Below are 19976 nucleotides of genomic sequence, written 5' to 3'. Positions count from 1 at the left end.
TTGAAATGCAAGGAGGTGATTACTATAAAAATCAGAATAATTATTTTGGGAAAGGGTAGGAGGGGCTTCTGTGGTTTGGGGCACATGGGAGAATTTTTGGCATAGCTTCCAGTGTGCTGCTGCTTTATCTGGGTGGTGTTCACCCTATAGCTGTTTTCTTTCTTTCTTTCTTTTTTTGTTTTTTGTTTTTTGAGACAGAATCTCACTCTGTCACCCAGGCTGGAGTGCAGTGGTACGACCTTGGCTTACTGCAACCTCCACCCCCGCCGGCTCAAGCGATCCTCCCACTTCAGCCTCCTGAGTAGCTGGGACCACAGGCATGCATCACCAGGCCCAGCTACTTTTTTGTATTTTTAGTAGAGACGGGGTTTCACTACGTTGCCTAGGCAGGTCTCAGACTCCTGAGCTCAAGTGATCCATCCATTTCAGCCTCCCAAAGTGCTGCGATTACAGGTATGAGCCACCACACCCCGTCTATAGGTGTTTTCTATAGTTGTGTTTTATATTACATGAAAAATTTTTATTAAGTAAAACTGTTTTTAAAACATTTTCATAATGTTCAAAGATAATAAATAGCTCTAAATGGGAAAGGAAAAACTAGAAATTTGAGGGGAAAAACCAGAAATTTGAGGAAAAAAACCTGTTTCAACATGTGACAGATTCTTCCTGAGGATTTAATACTGTTTAAAGAAAAACATGTATTAAATGTGGGTGCTTAGAACATACTTTTCTTTTTCCTCAATAGTTTCTTTTTTAATATAGGTATAGAGAAAGGATGGTCACAATGAGCTATTCATCTTGGATTATATTCTTCACATATTTGAATTTGATTTGGGACTTGCTGTGAAAAGCAACGTATCATTACACTCAAGTGTCTCTGTTTGCAGCCCATAAACAATAAATTGTATATCATATCACTCCTAAATATTTCAATTCCCCACAGATTTTCAGGATATATAAGTCTTTGGTCAATGTTGCTTTTTAAAAGTGAGAAATTGGGTAAGATTATGAATAAGTTAAAAACCCTTTATTTACATTTTGTATTTAACAGAAATTTACTAAGCACCTTTGTGTGCCATGGAGTAGGGATTCAATAGTGAACCAGACAAACACAGATCCCTTGTATTCTAGTGAGCCTTTATATCTTATATTAAGGAAGTTCAGGAAATTGATACTTAGGACAAGATTGAGAAAACAAGTGATCTCTTATGATCTATAATTATCTGCACAAAAATTTCTTAGTAATCTTCAAGTGGCTATTCTCAAATTAGCTGAAAATAGCCCCCTTTTAAGTCTATGAAATTAACATTATAGAAAAGAATTTTAGCAATTTTGGAGCAGAATGCTTTCTGGATACTTAATTCTGAATAACATTAGAATTTAGCTCTCCTTTTAATTTAAATCTAGTTATTCTTTATTATTTTAAAATATAAGGCATCTGCATTTTAAAACCTGGGTAACATTTATTTAGGTTTTCTTACTCCAAGGGAGAGGACCTGATCCAAGTTTTTAAGAAAAAATGATTATAGTTTCTTCCCCTTCTTTTTAAGAGAACCTTTTCATATGTTACCTATTACTTAATAGCTCATTACTTTGACACGCTTTCTGATTCAATATTGTGTTAACACTTATTAGAGATGCAAATGAAGATATGTGGCATTTTAATGTTCTGTATACATTTTAAATAGTCATTTTTCTGAAGACATACTATTTTTGGGCCATTTAACTTTGCTATCCTTGAAAGTGCTAAATTTGAGGCTTTTTTTTTTTTGAGATGAAGTCTCACTCTTGTACCCCAGGCTGGAGTGCGATGGCACGATCTTGGCTCACTGCAACCTCTGCCTCCGGGGTTCAAGCGATTCTCCTGCCTTGGCCACCCAAGTAGCTGGGATTACAGGTGCCCGCCCGCTACCATGTCCAGCTAATTTTTTATATTTTTAGTAGAGACGGGGTTTCACCATGTTGGCCAGGCTGGTCTCGAACTCCTGACCTCAGGTGATCCACCTGTCTCGGCCTCCCAAAGTGCTGGGATTACAGGCGTGAGCCACCGCACTTGGCAAATTTGAGGCTTTCAACTCCTGTCTTTTCTGTTACTGTTGAGGCACTGAGTCCCTCTCTAAGTGGATTAGTTATAACTTCATGACAATAAGGTGGCTGGCTGTCTCATGTAGGGAAAATGAGATCTCTTTCTTGGGATTTTCTTACTGAACAAAAGTTTGACCATTTTTACTAGTCTCTGACAGATGGCTTCCTATAGTTCTGGTTAAGATGACGTACTTAAAGTTCTCTAGAGATTAGTCTGATATATGTATACATGGTGCCAATGATTTTTTTTTCAATGCAGTCAGTTTTTCTAATCTCTCCCTTTTTTATTCTTTTTTTCTTTTTGGTGGGGGGCAGGTAATGAAAGCATGGGATGCTCATGTGACAGCAGTTTGCTCCCAAGATGCCAGTGAACTTGTAAGGAAGCTTGGTGCAGACGATGTAATTGATTACAAATCTGGAAGTGTGGAAGAGCAGTTGAAATCCTTAAAACCGTATGTATTAGAACAATGTTCACACTGGGAGTGGGAACAAGGACAGTTGATTATGCAGGTCTGAGATGGCTTGGTGGCTTTACAATCATGTTGGAATCTTGAGAAGGATCTATGAAAACATTCCATGTCACTAGAAGTTACTTAGGTTGGCTTCTGTTTTAATTCCAGATGTTAATACAACACAGTAACAGCATGTGGATAGGCACTGAGGAAGTTATTTTGCTTACATGGTCTTTGCTAATTTTTAAGTTAGCATGCTGGTTTGTAAGAGGCCTGAAGACAAAATTGGAAATGTGTTCCCTTCTGTGGCATCTGTCACCACAGGAAGAATATAGAGTAGTTCATGAAATACATGATTAGCCCAAAACATACTTTCGTGTTTTGGCTTAAAAAAGGCTTAAGAGAAACAGTGTAAGTCTAAATCTTGGTAATGGGAGCACTGTGGATGTTCCCAGTGTGTCTGAATGCCAGGCTGTGGTTTGGCCTGAGGTACCAAGCAGGAATGCATTCAGGAATTCTCTTGGGTCATGTTGATTCTGACTGTGACTCCAGCTTATTCATCTGACCTTTATCCAGCCAAGACCAAGCTGAAGCTGAGAGCAGAAATGAGGAGTATTTGGAAAGCTATTTTACTGCTTCTGTTTAAAAGGTTTTCCCTTTTTTGATTAGTTTTCAGAAGTCAACTACTCTTGACCACATTGAGTAGAAGTATATTTTTAAAGAGAAAGAAAAAAGAAAAAAAAGGGAGTCCTTATCTGACACCGCCCAGCCTTTCTCAGCCAGTGCCACCAACTTCTAGCAGTAGTTTGGTGGTGCACCCAGCAGCAGCCAGCCAACTCATCATTCCTTCAACTGTTCAGGGAGCTTCTACTCTTGCCAGGCAGGGTTCCAAACACCAGCTACAGTGGTGAACCAGACAAATGCCCACTTTCATGGAGCTTACATTCTTGTTTGGGCGGTTTTAGTGGTAGGTGCTCTGAAAAAAAATGAAAGGGAATAGATAGGGAGGAGGCTGTTATAAATAGCAAGGTTAAAGAATGCCTCACTGAGGAAGCAACATTTGAGTGGAGGCTTTAGTGAGCAAGTCAAATGAATGGGATTTGTGTGTTTGTGTGTTGCTCCCTGCTGTATCCCTCCAGCTGGAAGAGTGTAGTAGCATGTAGTAGGTGCTTAATAATATTTATTTAATTATTGAGGGAATCTAGGAGAACAATTGTTCCAGCTGGAAAGAACAGCAACCTAAAGCTCCCATGTCCGGAACATGCCTGGCATGTTTAAGGACTAACATTGTCCCTTTCAGAGATTTTGTCAGCTACCGTCTTGTCTGTGTGTCAGGGCCTAAGCCTCTTTGGGCGCCTTGAGAGTGACGACATGACAGGTCTCTGAGATCTGGCTTCTAGAAAGCAGTAGTTTAGGTTGATCTTGTATCTTTTTTTTTTTTTTTTTTTTGAGATGGATTCTCACTCTGTCGCCCAGGCTGGAGTGCAGTGGCACGATCTTGGCTCACTGCAACCTCTGCCTTCCGGTTTCAAGTGATTTTCCTGCCTCAGCCCCCCAAGTAGCTGGGATTACAGGTGTGCGCCACCACGCCTGGCTAATTTTTGTATTTTTAGTAGAGATGGGGTTTCACCATGTTGGCCAGGCTGGTCTCGAACTCCTGACCCCGTGATCCACCTGTCTCGGCCTTGCAAAGTGCTGGGATTACAGGCGTGAACCACCGCGCCCAGCCCGATCTTGTATCTTCTGATGCTTCTAGGAATAGCAACATGATACTGGGGCCAAGTTCTACCCATTCCCCTCTATCTACCTTAAGGGGTTTTGTTTTGTTTTTTTGTATTTGTTTTTGTTTGAGATGAAGTCTCACTCTGTTGCCCAGGCTGGAGTGCAATGGCGTGATCTTGGCACAACCTCTGCCTCCTGGATTCAAGTGATTCTTGTGCCTCAGCCTCCTGAGTAGCTGGGATTACAGGCACCCACCATCACACCCGGCTAATTTTTCAATTTTTTTTTTGTGGAGATAGTTTCACCATGTTGGCCGGGCTGGTCTTGAACCCCTGGCCTCAGGTGATCCGCCTTCCTTGGTCTCCCAAAGTGCTGGGATTACAGGCATGAGCCACTGCACCTGGCCTACCTTAAGTTTTATACATGTCTGGAATTTGTCACCAGAGAGTAGGAGAACTTGACAGACGGAAGGCTAGAGGACACTCAGTCTAGGCTCCCAAAGCGGTGCTATGCTTCCCTCCTTGGCATCTCTTCCTGGCAAGTGGTCTTGCTCCTTTCGCTTGTACTTTTCTAGTAGGGGGAACTTCGTGACTTATAAATGCATGCCGTTACTACTTCTTTTCTTTGATAGCTTTAGTTAAAATTGATCTTTGTAATTTCTGCCTGGAGTTTGACCTCTCAGTCTACCTAGGATAAATATGTTCCTCCTTCCAAATAGCAGCTTTTTAGGTATTTGAATCTTAGAGTTTTATAGCAAGAAGGGGCTTTGAAATCCTTCAGTCCAACCCTATGATGCTGTAGTTGAGAAAGTGAAGGGCAGAGGAGTTATGAGTTTTTGCATACTTGAGGTCATGCCACCAGTCATTTGTTGGGAGAGCTGGATCCACAACCTGGTCTCCAGATTTCTTTCTCAGACAATGCCTGTTCTATAATACCAGGCTGCCCTTAAGTTTTCTTTAAGTTAAGTATCCTCAGATTTGTTCATTCAAAACTTGGAAATGAAGTAGACACTTTTTTAGTGAAAAGAATGGTCATCTATTAAGGTCATCATGCTCCTGCATTTCATATCCTTAGATTTTAATTGCCTTTTTTCTTCTTCTTCTTCCTCTTCCTCTTCTTCCTCTTCCTCCTCCTCCTCCTCTTCTTCTTCTCTTTCTTCTTCTCCTTCTTCTTCTCCTTCTCCTCCTCCTTCTCCTCCTCCTCCCTCCCTCCTCCTCCCTCCTCCTCCCTCCTCCCCCTCCCTCCTCCTCCTCCCTCCTCCTCCTCCTCCACCGCCTCCTCCTCCTTCCTCTTCCTCTTCCTCTTCTTCTTCTTCCTCTTCTTCCTCTTCTTCTTCTGAGTTTCGCTCTTGTTGCCCAGGCTGGAGTGCAATGGCATGACCTCGGCTCACCACAACCTCTGCCTCCCGGGTTCAAGCGATTCTCCTGCCTCAGCCTCTTGAGTAGTTGGGATTACAGGCATGTGCCACCACATCTGGCTAATTTTGCAGTTTTAATAGAGACAGGGTTTCTCCATGTTGGTCAGGCTGGTCTCGAACTCCTGACCTCAGGTGATCCACCCGACTCGGCCTCCCAAAGTCCTGGGATTACAGGCATGAGCCACTGCACCCGGCCTTGCCCTTCTTTATTTTAGTTCTATAAGATACTCAAGATCCACAAAGTTGGCCAAAGTGGTTTTAGGAACTTTAATGTTTGACATCATCCAGATGAATTTGGGAGAAAAGATTTACCAAAAAGGAATTCATCAACTGATTTGCTCAGTTTATTTGCATGTATTCTCTATATAGATCTTTGTTTTCAAAATTATTTCAAAGCTTATTTTTATCCCTTTTCAATAGAATATAGTGATTACAGAAGTTTTAGTTTAGATGTAAGAAGTTGAATATCTGTCAGTTTCTGTGGATTCCATTATGGCTGAATTTTTTTGGCATGTTAGAACAGGCTGTTCATTTCTCCTTTTGCATTGTCCTGATGCTGTACCTGAAACCAAATGATAGAAAATTTCAGAAGGTGAAGAGGATGCTTCCATGAGCATTTCTGACTGTAAAGAGAATAAAAGCAAATCATTCTTGTAGGTGAAAATCTCATATTTTACTTTCAAGTATCCATGTGCACTAAAGAATACTTTATAGAGAATGGAAAGCTTTGCAGTTTTTTACAAAGCTTAATTAAGTCAGACTTTCTCAACCTTGGCAACCTTAGTTTCTCAACTATCGACATTTTGGGCTGGAAAATTTTTTAGCTTGTGAGGGGCTATTCTGTGCATTGTAGTGAGCCAAAACCACTCTCTTTTCAGAACTACTTGCTGAAGCCATTCTAAAGTACTAGAAAATGAAATGATTTTATGACAAAAATTAGTCACATTAAACTTACCTTGGAGAAAAGTCATAGATCCAGTGAATGAGTATGTCCTTCCATCTCCATCAAAGCAGCCACCCCTCTGCAGGATGGCGAGGTGCAGCACAGTTTAAGATTTGTCACTGAAATAAACCCTAAGCCAACTGGTACTGGAAGGGAAGGAGGATCAGAGTCCAGTGTAAAGCCTGACAACCATGTTTTGATTTGGTTCTTCCTCTCCAGATTTGATTTTATCCTTGATAATGTTGGCGGATCCACTGAAACATGGGCTCCAGATTTTCTCAAGAAATGGTCAGGAGCCACCTATGTGACTTTGGTGACTCCTTTCCTCCTGAACATGGACCGATTGGGCATAGCAGATGGCATGTTGCAGACAGGAGTCACTGTAGGTTCAAAGGCATTAAAGGTAGGAAGAAGGGTCTTGGTTGGTGACTGCAGGCAGCCTCCTGCTGCTAGAAATTGGTTTCCCACCTAGCCAGTTTCTCTTCTCTTGGAGGCCGCATAGCACGGTGGTTGCAAGCATGGACTCTGCAGTCACAGTGACTGGCTTCAAAATCTGACCTCTACTTAGTAGCTGTGTAACCCTGTGCAAGTTACTGAATGTCTCTAAGCCCCAATGTCTTCCCCTGTAAAATGAGGCTGTTAATAGATCTACCTTACTGCATTGTTGTAAGGATCAAATGAAGTAGTCCATATGGAGACATGGCATAATGCCTAGTACATAAAAAGCCCTTATTAAATGTTGCCTTTATTATTACTTATTGCCTCTCTTGATTACATCTGATGTACTGTCTGTGCTTCCTTCTTGTCTCTACCTGATGACCCTCTCTCTGTTTCATGTCTTAACACTTAAAGTCTCTTGTATATAAAGATGAAAACTTACAGCTGCTGTTTTCATTGTATTGGGATAGACCAGTGATTCCCAGACTGGGGCTTTCAGACATTTAGAGGTCTATGAGTAAAACAAGTTGTACTTTTACTTGAGTAAGCCTCCACTCATGCCTCTGCTGGGATTGTATCAACTTGTTCTAACACTGTGTATTCCGTGTAAATTTGAAACTCCAGCTATTAATGGCATGATGGGAGTTTCTGGGACTTGGTTAGTCAGCCTGACTCAGAAACAGGGCCACTTTTACCAGGGCTGTATGGAGCTCAAAACTGAATACATCTCACCCAAATTGCACACATCGGTGAGTGGCGGGCCTTGGAGACTAGGGCAGATGAGCCTCAGTTACAAGACTAATAGCAGAGCTTGAGCGTCTGCTCTCTACTTTACCTCGTAGCCTGTTGTCATCACAGTGGGGAGAGAGGCTTTTATAATTTCATGGGATAAACTGGTGGTAATTATAGATCATTGGTTTAAAATATGAATTGATGTTAAAATGGAATACATGATAGAAAAAATAAAGATAGGCTGGGCACGGTGTCTTATGCCTGTAATCCCATCATTTTGGGAGGTGGAGATGGGAGGATTGCTTAAGTCTGAGAAGTTTAAAACCAGCCTGGGCAACATAGTGAGAGCTTATCTCTACAAAACAATAAAAAAATTTGCCAGGTATGTTGGTGTATACCTGTAGTTCAGCTGCTCAGGAGGCTGAGGCCAGAGGATGGTTTGAGTCTGGGAGACAGAGGGTGTGAGCCATGATCGTGCCACTGTACTGCAGCCTGGGCAACAGAGGAAGACGTTGTCTCAAAAAAAAAACAAATTCTATTTTTTTAAATTAAGCAAAATACTTGAGACTCTGGAACAAGGCAGTAGAAAGTTCCTCAGTGGTAAAAAGGCTGTGAGTCGCTGTGTCAGTCCGACCAACGCTGACCCACGTTTGTGAGATGACTGGCTTGATAATTATCTTTAGCATTTTATTTATTCCAGATATTAATTTGGGACCTTTTATGGGGATGAAACTTAGGACTTTGGTCTCTTGAATTCTGTGTACTAAGTACTTAGAGGTCGTAACAAAGAGCTATGATGGAGGAGACCACGACTCAATTCTTATGAAATATTATGGGTAATAGAAATGAACAAACCAAGCGCTGCACTGTGGTGTTCTTTATTTTCATTTGATTCAGACAGTAGCCAGAAACAGTGTCCACAGGGTACTTTGTGGAGAAAGGGCTCTTAGCTGTCCCTTGTCTCTTCTTTCTCTTTCACAAAACCCAGATTTTCCAGTGCTTTAAAATGTAAGTTTAAGTTTTCTGTAAGATTTCAGTTTGTACTCCAGTGAGACCTCTTACAAGTTAACCTTCAGAGTTGTCCTCGGAGAGTAAAACAGGCACAGCTCTCTTCATTCTCTTTTCCTCCTACTTGAAAGATGATAGTGGTAATCTCATGTGAAAACCTTTTAAGTAGTTTTCAATGTCTTTCTGATTGTGCACGTAGTTAAAGCCTCATTGTCATGCTTCTGACTCTCCTACCTGCTTTGGTTTACTTTCTCTCCTATAGTGGCCTGGGTAGGGGGGGAATAACACAGACCTCTTATAGCAGAATATTAAAATTCTGCTATTACAGACCAAAAGTTTCACTTTACAGAGCCACATGCTGTGAAGAGTTACAGATGTGGCAGTTGTGACCATTTCTGTTCCTTCTTTAATACCCTAAACAATTACCAGAATGTTTTAATTGCAGTCTATGAAGCCAGACCTTAGGGAAAAGTATTTGAACAGATCTTCTGTGATTGTCATTTACTGGATCCACAGTAAGCTTGGGACATTCTCAGTGCTTCTGGCATTTAGCCACATAATTCTTCAAACAGCTTTTTTCTTTTTCTTGTTTTGTAGAGACAGAGTCTTGCTGTGTTGCCTAAGCTACTCTTGAACTCCTAGCCTCAAGCAATCCTCCCACCTTGGTCTCCCAAAGTGTTGGGATTATAGGTGTGAGCCAGTGTGCCTGGCCTCTTCTTTTTAAGTTAGTTGCATAAACCAGTGCATCTCAACATCTTTCATGCCATGACAGACATAGAAAATGATAGTATTTGAACAGCATGTAGAGGCTGCCTTGGGTAATAGAGATGAACAAACCAAGCCCTACTCCTCTAAGACCAGCCTATCTGGAGACTTCTACCAGCCCTGGCTTTGCCTGGCTATGCTGAGGGCTAAGGGGAGTCAATATCTCATCACACCAATTCTAGAGTAAGCTTGACTCTCTTTATATCTGTAGTCCTAGGGTAATTATTAATGATGAATCCTTTAGCTCTCACAGGTTTTCTGGGTTAGACGATAATCTATAGGGTCACTCACCCAGTAAGCCATCCTGGCACACCCAGTGGGAAGCTTTGCCTAGGCAACTGCTTAGTTTTTTCTTTCTTTCCACATTCTTAAACTGAATTGGTATTGTCTCAGTCTTTCCTCAGTAAGTTTCACTTTTAGCACTGGACAAGTATTGATAGAATACTTCCTATGTGTGAGGCATTTTGTATTCATTCTCATTTAATCCTTCCAACAATCCTGCAAGCTAGGTGGTGGTACCACCATTCTACAGGAAATGGGCTGAAAGAGGTAGCCTGACAAAAATAACATAACTAAAAAAAACAACAAAACAAAAATAATGCAACTAGTAAGTGCTGTTGTAGGGGGTTTCCATTGCATTTTTCAGCCTCACGCCATGGTAGTAGCTTATATCATACTGAGTGTAAGCTCAATGGCAAAGAAGTCTGAGCTCACCTCGCAGTTGTGGGTAGTTGTGGAGAGGGCAGCACTGTGGTACTGGCTGACCCTCTGCTACCTCACATTGCTCCCATCTGATGAAGGTTTGGTTGGGCAGGTCATTGAGGTATCATGGAGAACCTCAGCTCGTTTGCTGTTTCCGTAATGGCCTACCCTACCTTTGACATAAAGAATAACAATTACAGCCAGGCACAGTGGCTCACGCCTGTAATCCTAGCACTTTGGGAGGCTGAGGTGAGAGGATTGCTTGAGACCAGGAGTTCAAAACCAACCTGGGCAACATAGCAAGACCCTTTCTCAATTAAATAAACAAAGAATAACATTTATAAGTGGCAGTAGAGTGGTCATGAACCCTCTTGGTGTAAGATTTGTACTCATCTTCATTTGGAGGGTATTGCCCTGTAATAGATGAGATGGCTTTGTATTTGCCATAACCATAGGGAAAGATTCAGCCGTGATGTATAAGGAACTTTGCACTTTGTTTTCCCTTTAAAGCCACTTTATTCCTGTCAGAGCCAGAAAAAAAAATTGTGATTGGGCTTCTTGTCTAAGATCATATTTTGGTGACTTATTGTCCCCAAAACATTTTTGAATTTGGTGAAAACCTCTTTTCTAGTGCCTCTGGGCTTTATTCAAACCTTAGTAGGGAAAGCCTAGAGGTCTCAGCCCGATTCCTCATGGGGAGGAAACCCACTGTGGAAAACCATTTAGATGATCATTTTAAGGAAAGCTTTCCTGTGCTTACTTGTTCTTCAGTTACAGTTTAGAGAAGGAGCCTGAGTGACATGGATATGTCTTTGTTCAGTTATTTATTTATTAAACATTTATGGAGCATCCATTCTCTGTCAGTCATTGTGCCAAGGTGCTGTGCACACATTTTGTCAGCATGAAATGAGAAATCAGTTTGTTGTAGTCATCCAGAAAATGCTTTTCCCTAAATCTGCATTTAGTCAGATTTTATGTTTTTCTGTATTTGACATGTTTTGTTTTCTTCTTTTTAGCATTTCTGGAAAGGAGTCCATTATCGCTGGGCATTTTTCATGGCCAGTGGCCCATGTTTAGATGACATTGCAGAACTGGTGGATGCGGGAAAGGTACGTGCACCTGGAAACCTGGATTGGAAGCCTTTGTATTTCTACAGCACCTCCTGTAGACCTGCCCACTGAGCCTCGTTAGTAGGGACTCTACAGAGGTAGCCTGCTCACCTGACCTTGTGCTGCCTTACATGGCCAAGTTTACATGCTATGTCTTTGGTTCTGTCTCCATGGGAGGCATAGACACAGACTGCTCCATCTGCACAAGAGCTTCTCTCATCTAGTCAAACCGCCTTGGTTTAGTAGATGAAGAGGCGGGCCCAGGGAGGTTATAGGATTCCCCCAAAGACACTTGGTTAGGTCATAGCACAGCTGTGATCTACATTGGGCTGCTAATATTTTATCAGGTCCCCAGGTCTCCTGATTTCTAGGTGGGTATAATAAAATCAAGGGCAAATAAATAGTCCATCTGAGACAGTCAGTGGCCAGGGCTAGGGTGAGTGAGGATTGATGGGGATTTGGGTGAAGACAACTGGCTGGTGTACTCTGCCTACTAGTGTCTGTCCTGCCGTGGACTCTGTGGGAAAGGGGCTGTTGCTTATCATCTGGTCATCGTTTTTTGGATGTCAAAAGGTCTTTCAGGGATTCTGGGGATTGAAAGCCTCCTCAGCTGCCACCTGCTTATTTGGGTTTTTACATGGTCTAAACCACCTTGACATCCCATCTCTAGAGGAATAACCCAGAAGGTGGTATTCTGGTGCTGATATTTTTTATGTTATTGAGAGATTATATGGACTTATAGGATGGAGAACTTTTAGAGGGTTGTGTGAGATCATAGATAGGGTGATTCTCATTTTACAGGTGAAAAAGCCAACTTGCCAAGAAAAAGGGGCATGCTCAAACTTGCAGAAATGGAACCAAAACTCTTGTGCTTTTCCCTCTCCACCTTTCAGCTGTATTCTTAGTGCTTGAAGCTGATTTGAGACTTCAGCATACATTGTCTTATCTTTGTCACTTTGCAGTGGGCAGGGACTGGAGTTAGAGCAGGCTAGCATTAGCATTGTGTGAACCACTCTGAGACACTTGGACAGAGCCCCTGGAGGTGGGCTTTCTTATTCTGGCCCCTGCTCCTTGCTGGCATATTTCATCTTTCCGTTTCGATTTTGGAAAGGAATATTTTTGGGAACTAATGGCTGCTTTTTATGTATTTAAGGTTTTTCTTCTTTCACAGCCAAGGAACTATATAAGAGGATGGCCTGTTATTATTTCCCAAATATTTGGGTTCCAGGCTTATGTGTCTTTTCATGGACTTCTAAGTTTTGGTGTGTTCTGATAGGGACAGGGGCTCAGTGTTATTGTGACTGTGTAACTCCTCCTTTGTGGGGTTCTCCCACATCCCACAGGAATGCTTATTTTATTTCTAGGAAGAAGAGAATGAAGTATCATCAAGTAAGTGCTTCATGTGGTTGGAACCCTATTATTAGAGAGGTCTTTGTCCTCTAGAAGTCCACGATTGTGCTTGTCCTGCTATCTGCTCCAGGCTGTCCACATGCTTACCACTGCTCTTTTGTATTCAAAATATTGTGACTCTCTCTCTGCCTGGAAATTACTGTTTACCCAACAGAGATGAGAGGTGACTTGTATATATCTACCTATTACATTTGGCAGATAACTGGTAATGGCTAAAATAGGACATGATAAACAACAACAAAAAAAGATGTCCTTGAAGTATTCTCCAAGGAGGTTGAGTGAGCAAATGTGCCTTGTGCTTTGATTCTCCTCTCCTGCACAAGCTGTTTGGGCTTGGGAGTCATTTCTGGCAATGAGGGGTTCTGGGACTGTGAAGTTGGTATGTGGCACTGGATGCCTTGATGAGGCCAGCTCTCTTGTCGTGTCCTTGCTTCTGTGTGGATGTGAGAGGTCATTGCCTTTTTATCCTGGGAAATTAGAAGGAATGACACAGCAGATCTTACTTATGTGTTGTGTGGTTGGTAGAGATTTGTTAAATTGGAGGAGGACATTTAAATTCTTCCAAGCTTTGGCTGAGCGCTTCATGATTCTCATTAGCAGGTAACTGTTAGAAAAGCTACAGTTGTTTTTTGATCGTGAAAAGCTGTGAAACAACAGAGCCAACTCTTTTAAAATACTTGAACTTTGAAAAAATACATTCATAAGGTTCAAAAACCCTAAAGATGGAAAAAGTTATTTCAAGAAGTCTTCTTTTGACTGCTATATCTCAGTCACTGAGATTCTGCTTGTCAGATGCAACCAATATTACTAGTTTCTTGGGTATTCCAAAGATACTCTATCAAAACAGGAAAAATAATTTTTTTCCTCTCTCTCTCTTCTTTCTCTCCTAACAAAATGGATAACATACTGTGCTGCAACCTGCTTTTTTTTTTTTTTTAACAGCATATGTTCAAATTTGTTTTATGTCAGGATATAAAAGCTTTCTCATTCCTTTTTTGTTAACAGCTACATAGTATTTGTATGGGTGTACCATAATTTGTTTAATTTCAGTCTTTTGCAAACAGTGCTTCAGTGGATAACCCAATATTTATGTTTAGTACCTAATTGTATATATAACCATTTCTGTTTATGGAAATGGAATTGCTGAGTCAAAAGAGATATGCATTTATAATTTTGATCGTTTTTTTTTTTTTTTCTTTGAGACAGAGTCTTGCTCTGTCGCCGAGGCTGGAGTGCAGTGGTGTGATCTCAGCTCACTGCAACCTCCACTTCCCGGGTACAAGCGATTCTCCTGCCTCAGCCTCCTGAGTAGCTGGGATTACAGGTGCCCACCACCACACCTGGCTAATTTTTGTATTTTTAGTAGAGATGGGGTTTCGCCCTGTTGGCTGTACTGGTCTTGAACTCCTGACCTCAGATGATCCACCTGCCTTGGCCTCCCAAAGTGCTGGGATTACAGACATGAGCCACTGCACTTAGCCTTTAATAGATATTAAAATAGACAGCTTTTGAAAATCTAGTATATATATTTAGTGTCTGGAATTTATCTTGTGGCCTACCTTCTAGGCCCCTTCTCTCTTTACTTACCCATTATCTTACCCTCTGAACCATTTTACTTCATTAGAGACTTGTTTTTAAGAATGTGAAGAAGGTCTGGTTACTGGTCACTTGTGATTTAAACTATCTTTTTTTTTTTTTTTTTTTGAGACAGAGTCTTGCTCTGTCGCCCAGGCTGGAGTGCAGTGGCGCGATCTCAGCTCACTGCAAGCTCCGCCTCCCGGGTTCACACCATTCTCCTGCCTCAGCCTTCCAAGTAGCTGGGACTACAGGCGCCCGCCACCATGCCCGGCTAATTTTTTGTATCTTTAGTAGAGATGGGGTTTCACCGTGTTAGCCAGGATGGTTTCGATTTCCTGACCTCATGATCCACCCACTTCAGCCTCCCAAAGTGTTGGGATTACAGGCGTGAGCCACTGCGCCCGGCCTAAACTATCTTAATATCTGAGCTGGGCGTGGTGGCTCATGCCTGTGATCCCAGCTACTTAAAAGTTTGAGGTGGGAGGATCGCTTGGGCCCAGGAGTTCAAGACCAGCCTGGGCAACATAGGGCAATCCCATCTCAAGGAAAAAAAAAAAAGAATCTGGATTAATGAGTATTACTGATAGAGTCTAAATTCTGCTTGTTAGCCCTGCATGCCCCAGTAAAAATGGAGAAGCCACCGAGTTAATATCCACAATAATGAGCACTCTCTGTCAATCTGTTAATAGCATTGTCCTTCTACCTTCTTTATGAACAACAACCCTACCTTTGCTTTCTCCCAGTGCAGCACTCAGTAAATGTTTTGGTTTCCTGCCTTTAATGTGCTCACTATTGTCAGGCTCAAAAGTGAAGAGGAGCTGAAATTTCCTAAATATGTGGTGACCTCACAGTCTGTTTTTCCTGGAGATCCAGTCTTAGGCATTGTTTTCACATGACTGTCATCACGAAGCCTTATTGCAAGTCGTAGGACTCCATATTCATCCTATCTGGGCACAATTTCAGTTTGAATTTTAAGTTACCTAGTATTTTCATTATGTCTTAGATAAAGTGGTTGGCAAACTACAGCCTGTGGGCCACATTCAGTCTGAGGCCTGTTTTTGCACATCCTCTGAGCCAAGAATGGTTTTTACTTTTTTTTTTTTTTGAGATGTAGTCTTGCTCTGTCACCATGCTGGAGTGCAGTGGCACGATCTCGGCTCACTGCAACCTCCATCTCCTGGGTTCAAGCGATTCTTCTGCCTCAGCCTCCTGAGTAGCTGGGACTACAGGCGCCTGCCACCACGCCCGGCTAATTTTTTGCATTTTTAGTAGAGACAGGGTTTCACCATGTTGGCCAGGCTGGTCTCAATCTCTTGACCTCGTGATCCACCCACCTTGGCCTCCCAATGTGCTGGGATTACAGGCGTGAGCCACCACGCCCAGCTGGTTTTTATATTTTTAAAGATTTGTTAAAAAAAAAAAAAAGAAGAAGAAGAAGAACTTAGACCATGTGAAGCCTGCAAAGCCTAAGACATTCACTATTTAGGCCTTTACAGAAAAAGTTTGCCGATCCTTATCTTAAACTAGAAGTTAAATGTTTTTTAACTGAAACCCAGTCAGGCCAAGCTCCAGTTTACAGAATAGGCAGAGGAGGAGCTGCTCTGCTGGTGAAATGGTGGCAGGGAGTGACCTCCCCGACAAATGTTCTTTCCCCGCAGCTGCTCCACACAGCCAAGGAGCCCTGGGCTCTTGGACACTAGTTTGCAAACTGCTGTTCTGGGCATTCTCAAAAAGAATGATTTATAATTATCCCCTTAAGCGTACTGGGTTGGTACTGACGTGCCTCATGCCTACAGTTTATTGGCATTTTCTCCTAAGCACAAAAAACAGTTCCTGTTTTCATACTATTTAACACACTTACTTTTTGGTGGGAGGAGATATAGCAAAAATTCTATTCAGGTCACGCATATGCCATTGAATAGCATACTCACAGACTGGAAAGAGGAAAGCTTTGCACTTGTCTAGTTTACTGTCTTCATCCCTTTATCCCTCATCCTGCTGTGATGTCACATTTGAAGGGACAGAGGCCCTAAGAAATTAAATGATGTGTTCAAGGTCACATAGGCAGGGCCCAGGTCTCTTGACCCTTACGACAGTTCCTTCTACAGTCTTCATTGTTTTCTGCTTAAATAATCATCCAGACATTGTTACCTAGAGTTTGAGTTCTTGGTATTTTACTCTGTCATCTTGTATTTCTCAGTATCTTGCAGGACTGAGAGGAGGTGGTGGTGAGGCAGTCTTCAGATGATACCTGCTGCTAAGAAGGACTGTGTAACTGTGTTTTGAAGGAAAATATTTATACATATTTGCTTATATATGCATGCATTAGTTTCCTATTGCAGTAACAAATTACTATGAATGTGGTGGCTTAAGACAGCACAAATTTATTATCTTATAATAATAAGATTTTGGTCAGAAGTCCAAATGTATGGGCAGGGCTGCATTCCTCCTGGAAGCAGGCTATACGGGAGGATCTGTTTCCTTGCCTTCTCCAGCTTCTAGAGGCTGTACCTCCCTTGACTTGTGGCTACATCACTCCAACCTCTGCTTCTGTTAATCTTTGACCTCTAACCCTCCTGCCTTCCCCTTATAAGGACCCTGAGATTACACTGGGCCCACTTGGATAATCCAGGATAATCTCTGCATCTCAGGATCCTTAACTTAATCACACCAGCAAAGTCCTTTTGCCATGTAAGGTGCCATATTCACACATTTTGGGAATCAGGATGTGAACATCTTTGGGGGCCATTATTCTGCCTACCACAATGCATAAAATACTTCAAAAAGGTTATGAGAGCAACTAGAAACCTTGGTTGCTCCTGAGGTGGGAAACCAGATGGCTAGAAATCAAGTATGGGAGGAAGATCTTTTTTTTTTTTTTTTTTTTTTTTTGAGACAGGGTCTCACTTTGTCACCCAGGCTGGAGTGTAGTGGTGTGATCTCACCTCGCTGCAGCCTTGACCTCCTGGGCTGAAGTGATCCTCCCACCTCAGCCCCCCATATAGCACTACCCAGCACTACCTCTTGGACAGGAATGCCCCTGACCAGCTAAATTTTTTGTATTTTTTGTAGAGACAAGGTTTTGCCATGTTGCCCAAGCTGGTCTTGAACTCCTGAGCTCAGGCAATCTGCCTGCCTGGGCTTCCCAAAGTGCTAAGATTATAGGTGTGAGCCACTGCACACGGCCAGGAAGATATTTTTGAATGTTTATTGATACATGTATATTCTTCATCTAATTAGTAAGCCTTCTGATGTTAGGAGCTTAATGTTCACAGGTATATTCAAAATCTTAGATGCCAGCCAAGCATCTTGGTTGAACAGTGATATAGATTTCTCAGTTGATTTATTTTAGCCAGCATCAGAATAGTTCTTATGCACCATATTTGAGTTCAATTCAGAACACTTACTGAAGGCCCACTATCACTTACTTGACCCAGTAGATGGTGGAGAAATGTGTTGGTCACACTCAGTTACCTTTTGAGCAGCCTGTCCTCTAGAACTTTGTGCAGTGATAGAGATGTTCTCTGTCTGCAGTATTCACTTGGTGGCCACTAAGCCACTGAGCACTTGAAATGTAGCAAGTGCAACTTGAGAGACTGACTTTTTCATTTTATTTACTTACTTTTGATTAACGTAAATAGTCACGTGTCTAGAGGCTACCATATTGGACACTGCAGCTTTCGAGAAAAATGTAATGAGTTCTGAGGTAGGTGATTTCCCAGGTCCGTCTTGAATAGCTGGGCCCTCGTTTAGCAACGAAGTACATTCTAAACCTTAAGTTCTTTATTGCCACTGGATTTTGCTCCATAGAAAGAATGTAGTGATTAGGGACTGAATCCCTAGGACCACTGGAAGAGGGCTGCCTTGCCTGATGTGGCAAGTATCTCATGGATCCCATGGCCTCAATGCTTCTGAGGTTTTTCTGATGCTACTGAAATTGTTTCTATGAGGAAATTTATATGGGGTTTCTCCTCTCACCTTCTGGCTGTTGGAAGTGCATTTTTTAGGGGTACCTAGGGACAAGTCCTTGATGCTTTCCCAAATGGCACACTTACTCCCTTGGAGAGTTCCCCCATCTGCCATCCCCCTCCTGTCTCACCCCATCTTCCAGTTTTGAGTTTGCCATCTGGGGCAGGAAGTTTCCGAGAAACAGCAACTGAGAGCAAAATTCACCTCTTCCTTTTGTCTTCTTTTTGTCTAAAGGTAGACTGAGTTTAAGTCCCCTTCTTCCCCTTTACCCCAACCCAGGAAATACTGAACCTTTCACAGAGGTCAGGGGCATACCTGTCCAGGAGGTAGTGCTGGAACTGCGGTCCTGGTGCCTGTCCACAGGTGTGTGGATTTGGACTCAGACCAGGAGCCCTTAGGTCTTCCTTGGTGTTTGTCACCTGTCAGTGTCCCCTCACACACCTCACCCTCTGAGATCTGCAGCCTCTGTGCCTGGTGGAAGAAGAGGCCAAGGGTCTAGGAAAAGAAGTGGAATAGACTGTGACTTCCCAGATTACATCCATTCCATGCAGTAATGACATTAGGAGTCCTGGGTCCTTGTTTTGGCTCTGCTATTGACAGCTCTGACCTTGCACTTACCACTCAATCATTTGCACTTCAGTTTCCTAATCTATCAAAAGAGGCCCACTCGGATATGTTAACTCTACTGTTTTGTGATTCTCACTGGGAAAACGGGAATTGAGGGAAAACCTCTGCCTGCTGCCATGGCTGCCTAGACAGTGTCCTTCTCCACCAGCAGCTTCATGCTCTTGCAGTAGTGAGAGGTTTTCTGTACCGTCTTCCGAAGCCTCAAGTGTTAGAGAGGGTTTTTGCCTCAGCAGGAAGGAGGACTTGCCTAGCGTCTTGTAAGCAGCAATATTCCAAGGCCACATCCAGAGAGGTTAAGGTTCCCGTCGTCCCTACGTTCTCACAGAAGTGATGTCAGGCAGCGGGTGCCAAATCTTGGGGCTTGGCTTGGTTCAGCCTTTGTATCAGGGATGCGAGGCACAATCAGCACCCCACACATGAATCCAAGACTGAATGAGGGCTGCTGCTGTGAGCGTCCCTGGCCGGCTGTGAGCCTCGTGTGTCTGCGCAGTGGGAAGCATGGTGTTGAGCCTGCCCGCTTTATAACAGGGCTCCCTGTGCCAGGTGGACTATAGCAGCGTCATCACATAAACATCCCTACTTCACTGTGAGTAACCTTTCTTTCCCCCCTCTGTATTTTAACTCTGATCCCTTTGTCCTTAACAAACAAGTATTCTAGGCCTGATGTGAGGCTGTACATAGACACTGTCTCATTATCCAGTTAATCTCTGTTTGCTGTCACAGATTCAGCCAGCAGTGGCATTTGCCTGCCTTCAATTTGAAACCTTTTTTTCCATTGTCACTTACGGGAATTGCTGAATGACTCATTGTGCCGTGGTCAGCCCTCTCGGGTTATTTGCCACAATAGGCCTGACCAGCCAGATTAAAGTGGGCAGTAACTGTAAGCTGCCTGTGTCATCAGTTCAGGATCTGTGTCCCCGGTCAGAGCTCTAAATTGAACATTCAGTTCAGCCGGTTTTGGTTTAGTGCCTTAGGAGGCAGGCACTTTGTCAGTCTGTGGAATGGATGGGTATGTGCAT

General features: G+C 42.7%; 1 protein-coding gene across 4 annotated transcripts in view, besides 3 other annotated features; it reads left to right on the top strand.

Moving 5' to 3' along the window:
- The window catches only part of RTN4IP1 (reticulon 4 interacting protein 1), a 59721-nt gene that overhangs the window by 35791 nt on the left and 3954 nt on the right, over positions 1–19976 (top strand). For 3 of the 4 annotated variants that reach the window (NM_001318746.1, NM_032730.5, XM_011536192.3), the window contains 3 exons: positions 2401–2537; positions 6839–7022; positions 11281–11373. In NM_001318746.1, coding sequence (NP_001305675.1) covers positions 2401–2537; positions 6839–7022; positions 11281–11373 — 414 coding nt within the window. The remainder of the gene's footprint in view (positions 1–2400; positions 2538–6838; positions 7023–11280; positions 11374–19976) is intronic. The other variant, XM_017011376.3, reaches the window with a different exon arrangement.
- Positions 8656–9350: an enhancer, noted in NCBI's record as "NANOG hESC enhancer chr6:107033226-107033920 (GRCh37/hg19 assembly coordinates)". NCBI's record gives its function as "activates a minimal SCP1, AML or CMV promoter by ChIP-STARR-seq in naive and primed H9 embryonic stem cells {active_cell/tissue: H9 hESC(naive and primed)}" and the evidence as "EXISTENCE:reporter gene assay evidence [ECO:0000049][PMID:30033119]".
- Positions 13220–13420: a silencer, noted in NCBI's record as "peak6003 fragment used in MPRA reporter construct". NCBI's record gives its function as "represses an SCP1 promoter by STARR-seq MPRAs in K562 erythroleukemia cells {active_cell/tissue: K562}" and the evidence as "EXISTENCE:reporter gene assay evidence [ECO:0000049][PMID:32103011]".
- Positions 18876–19396: an enhancer, noted in NCBI's record as "H3K27ac-H3K4me1 hESC enhancer chr6:107023180-107023700 (GRCh37/hg19 assembly coordinates)". NCBI's record gives its function as "activates a minimal SCP1, AML or CMV promoter by ChIP-STARR-seq in primed H9 embryonic stem cells {active_cell/tissue: H9 hESC(primed)}" and the evidence as "EXISTENCE:reporter gene assay evidence [ECO:0000049][PMID:30033119]".

Source organism: Homo sapiens, chromosome 6 (assembly GCF_000001405.40).
Source record: "Homo sapiens chromosome 6, GRCh38.p14 Primary Assembly".
NCBI lineage: Eukaryota > Metazoa > Chordata > Mammalia > Primates > Hominidae > Homo > Homo sapiens.
This window is presented reverse-complemented; position numbering and strand designations above follow the sequence as displayed.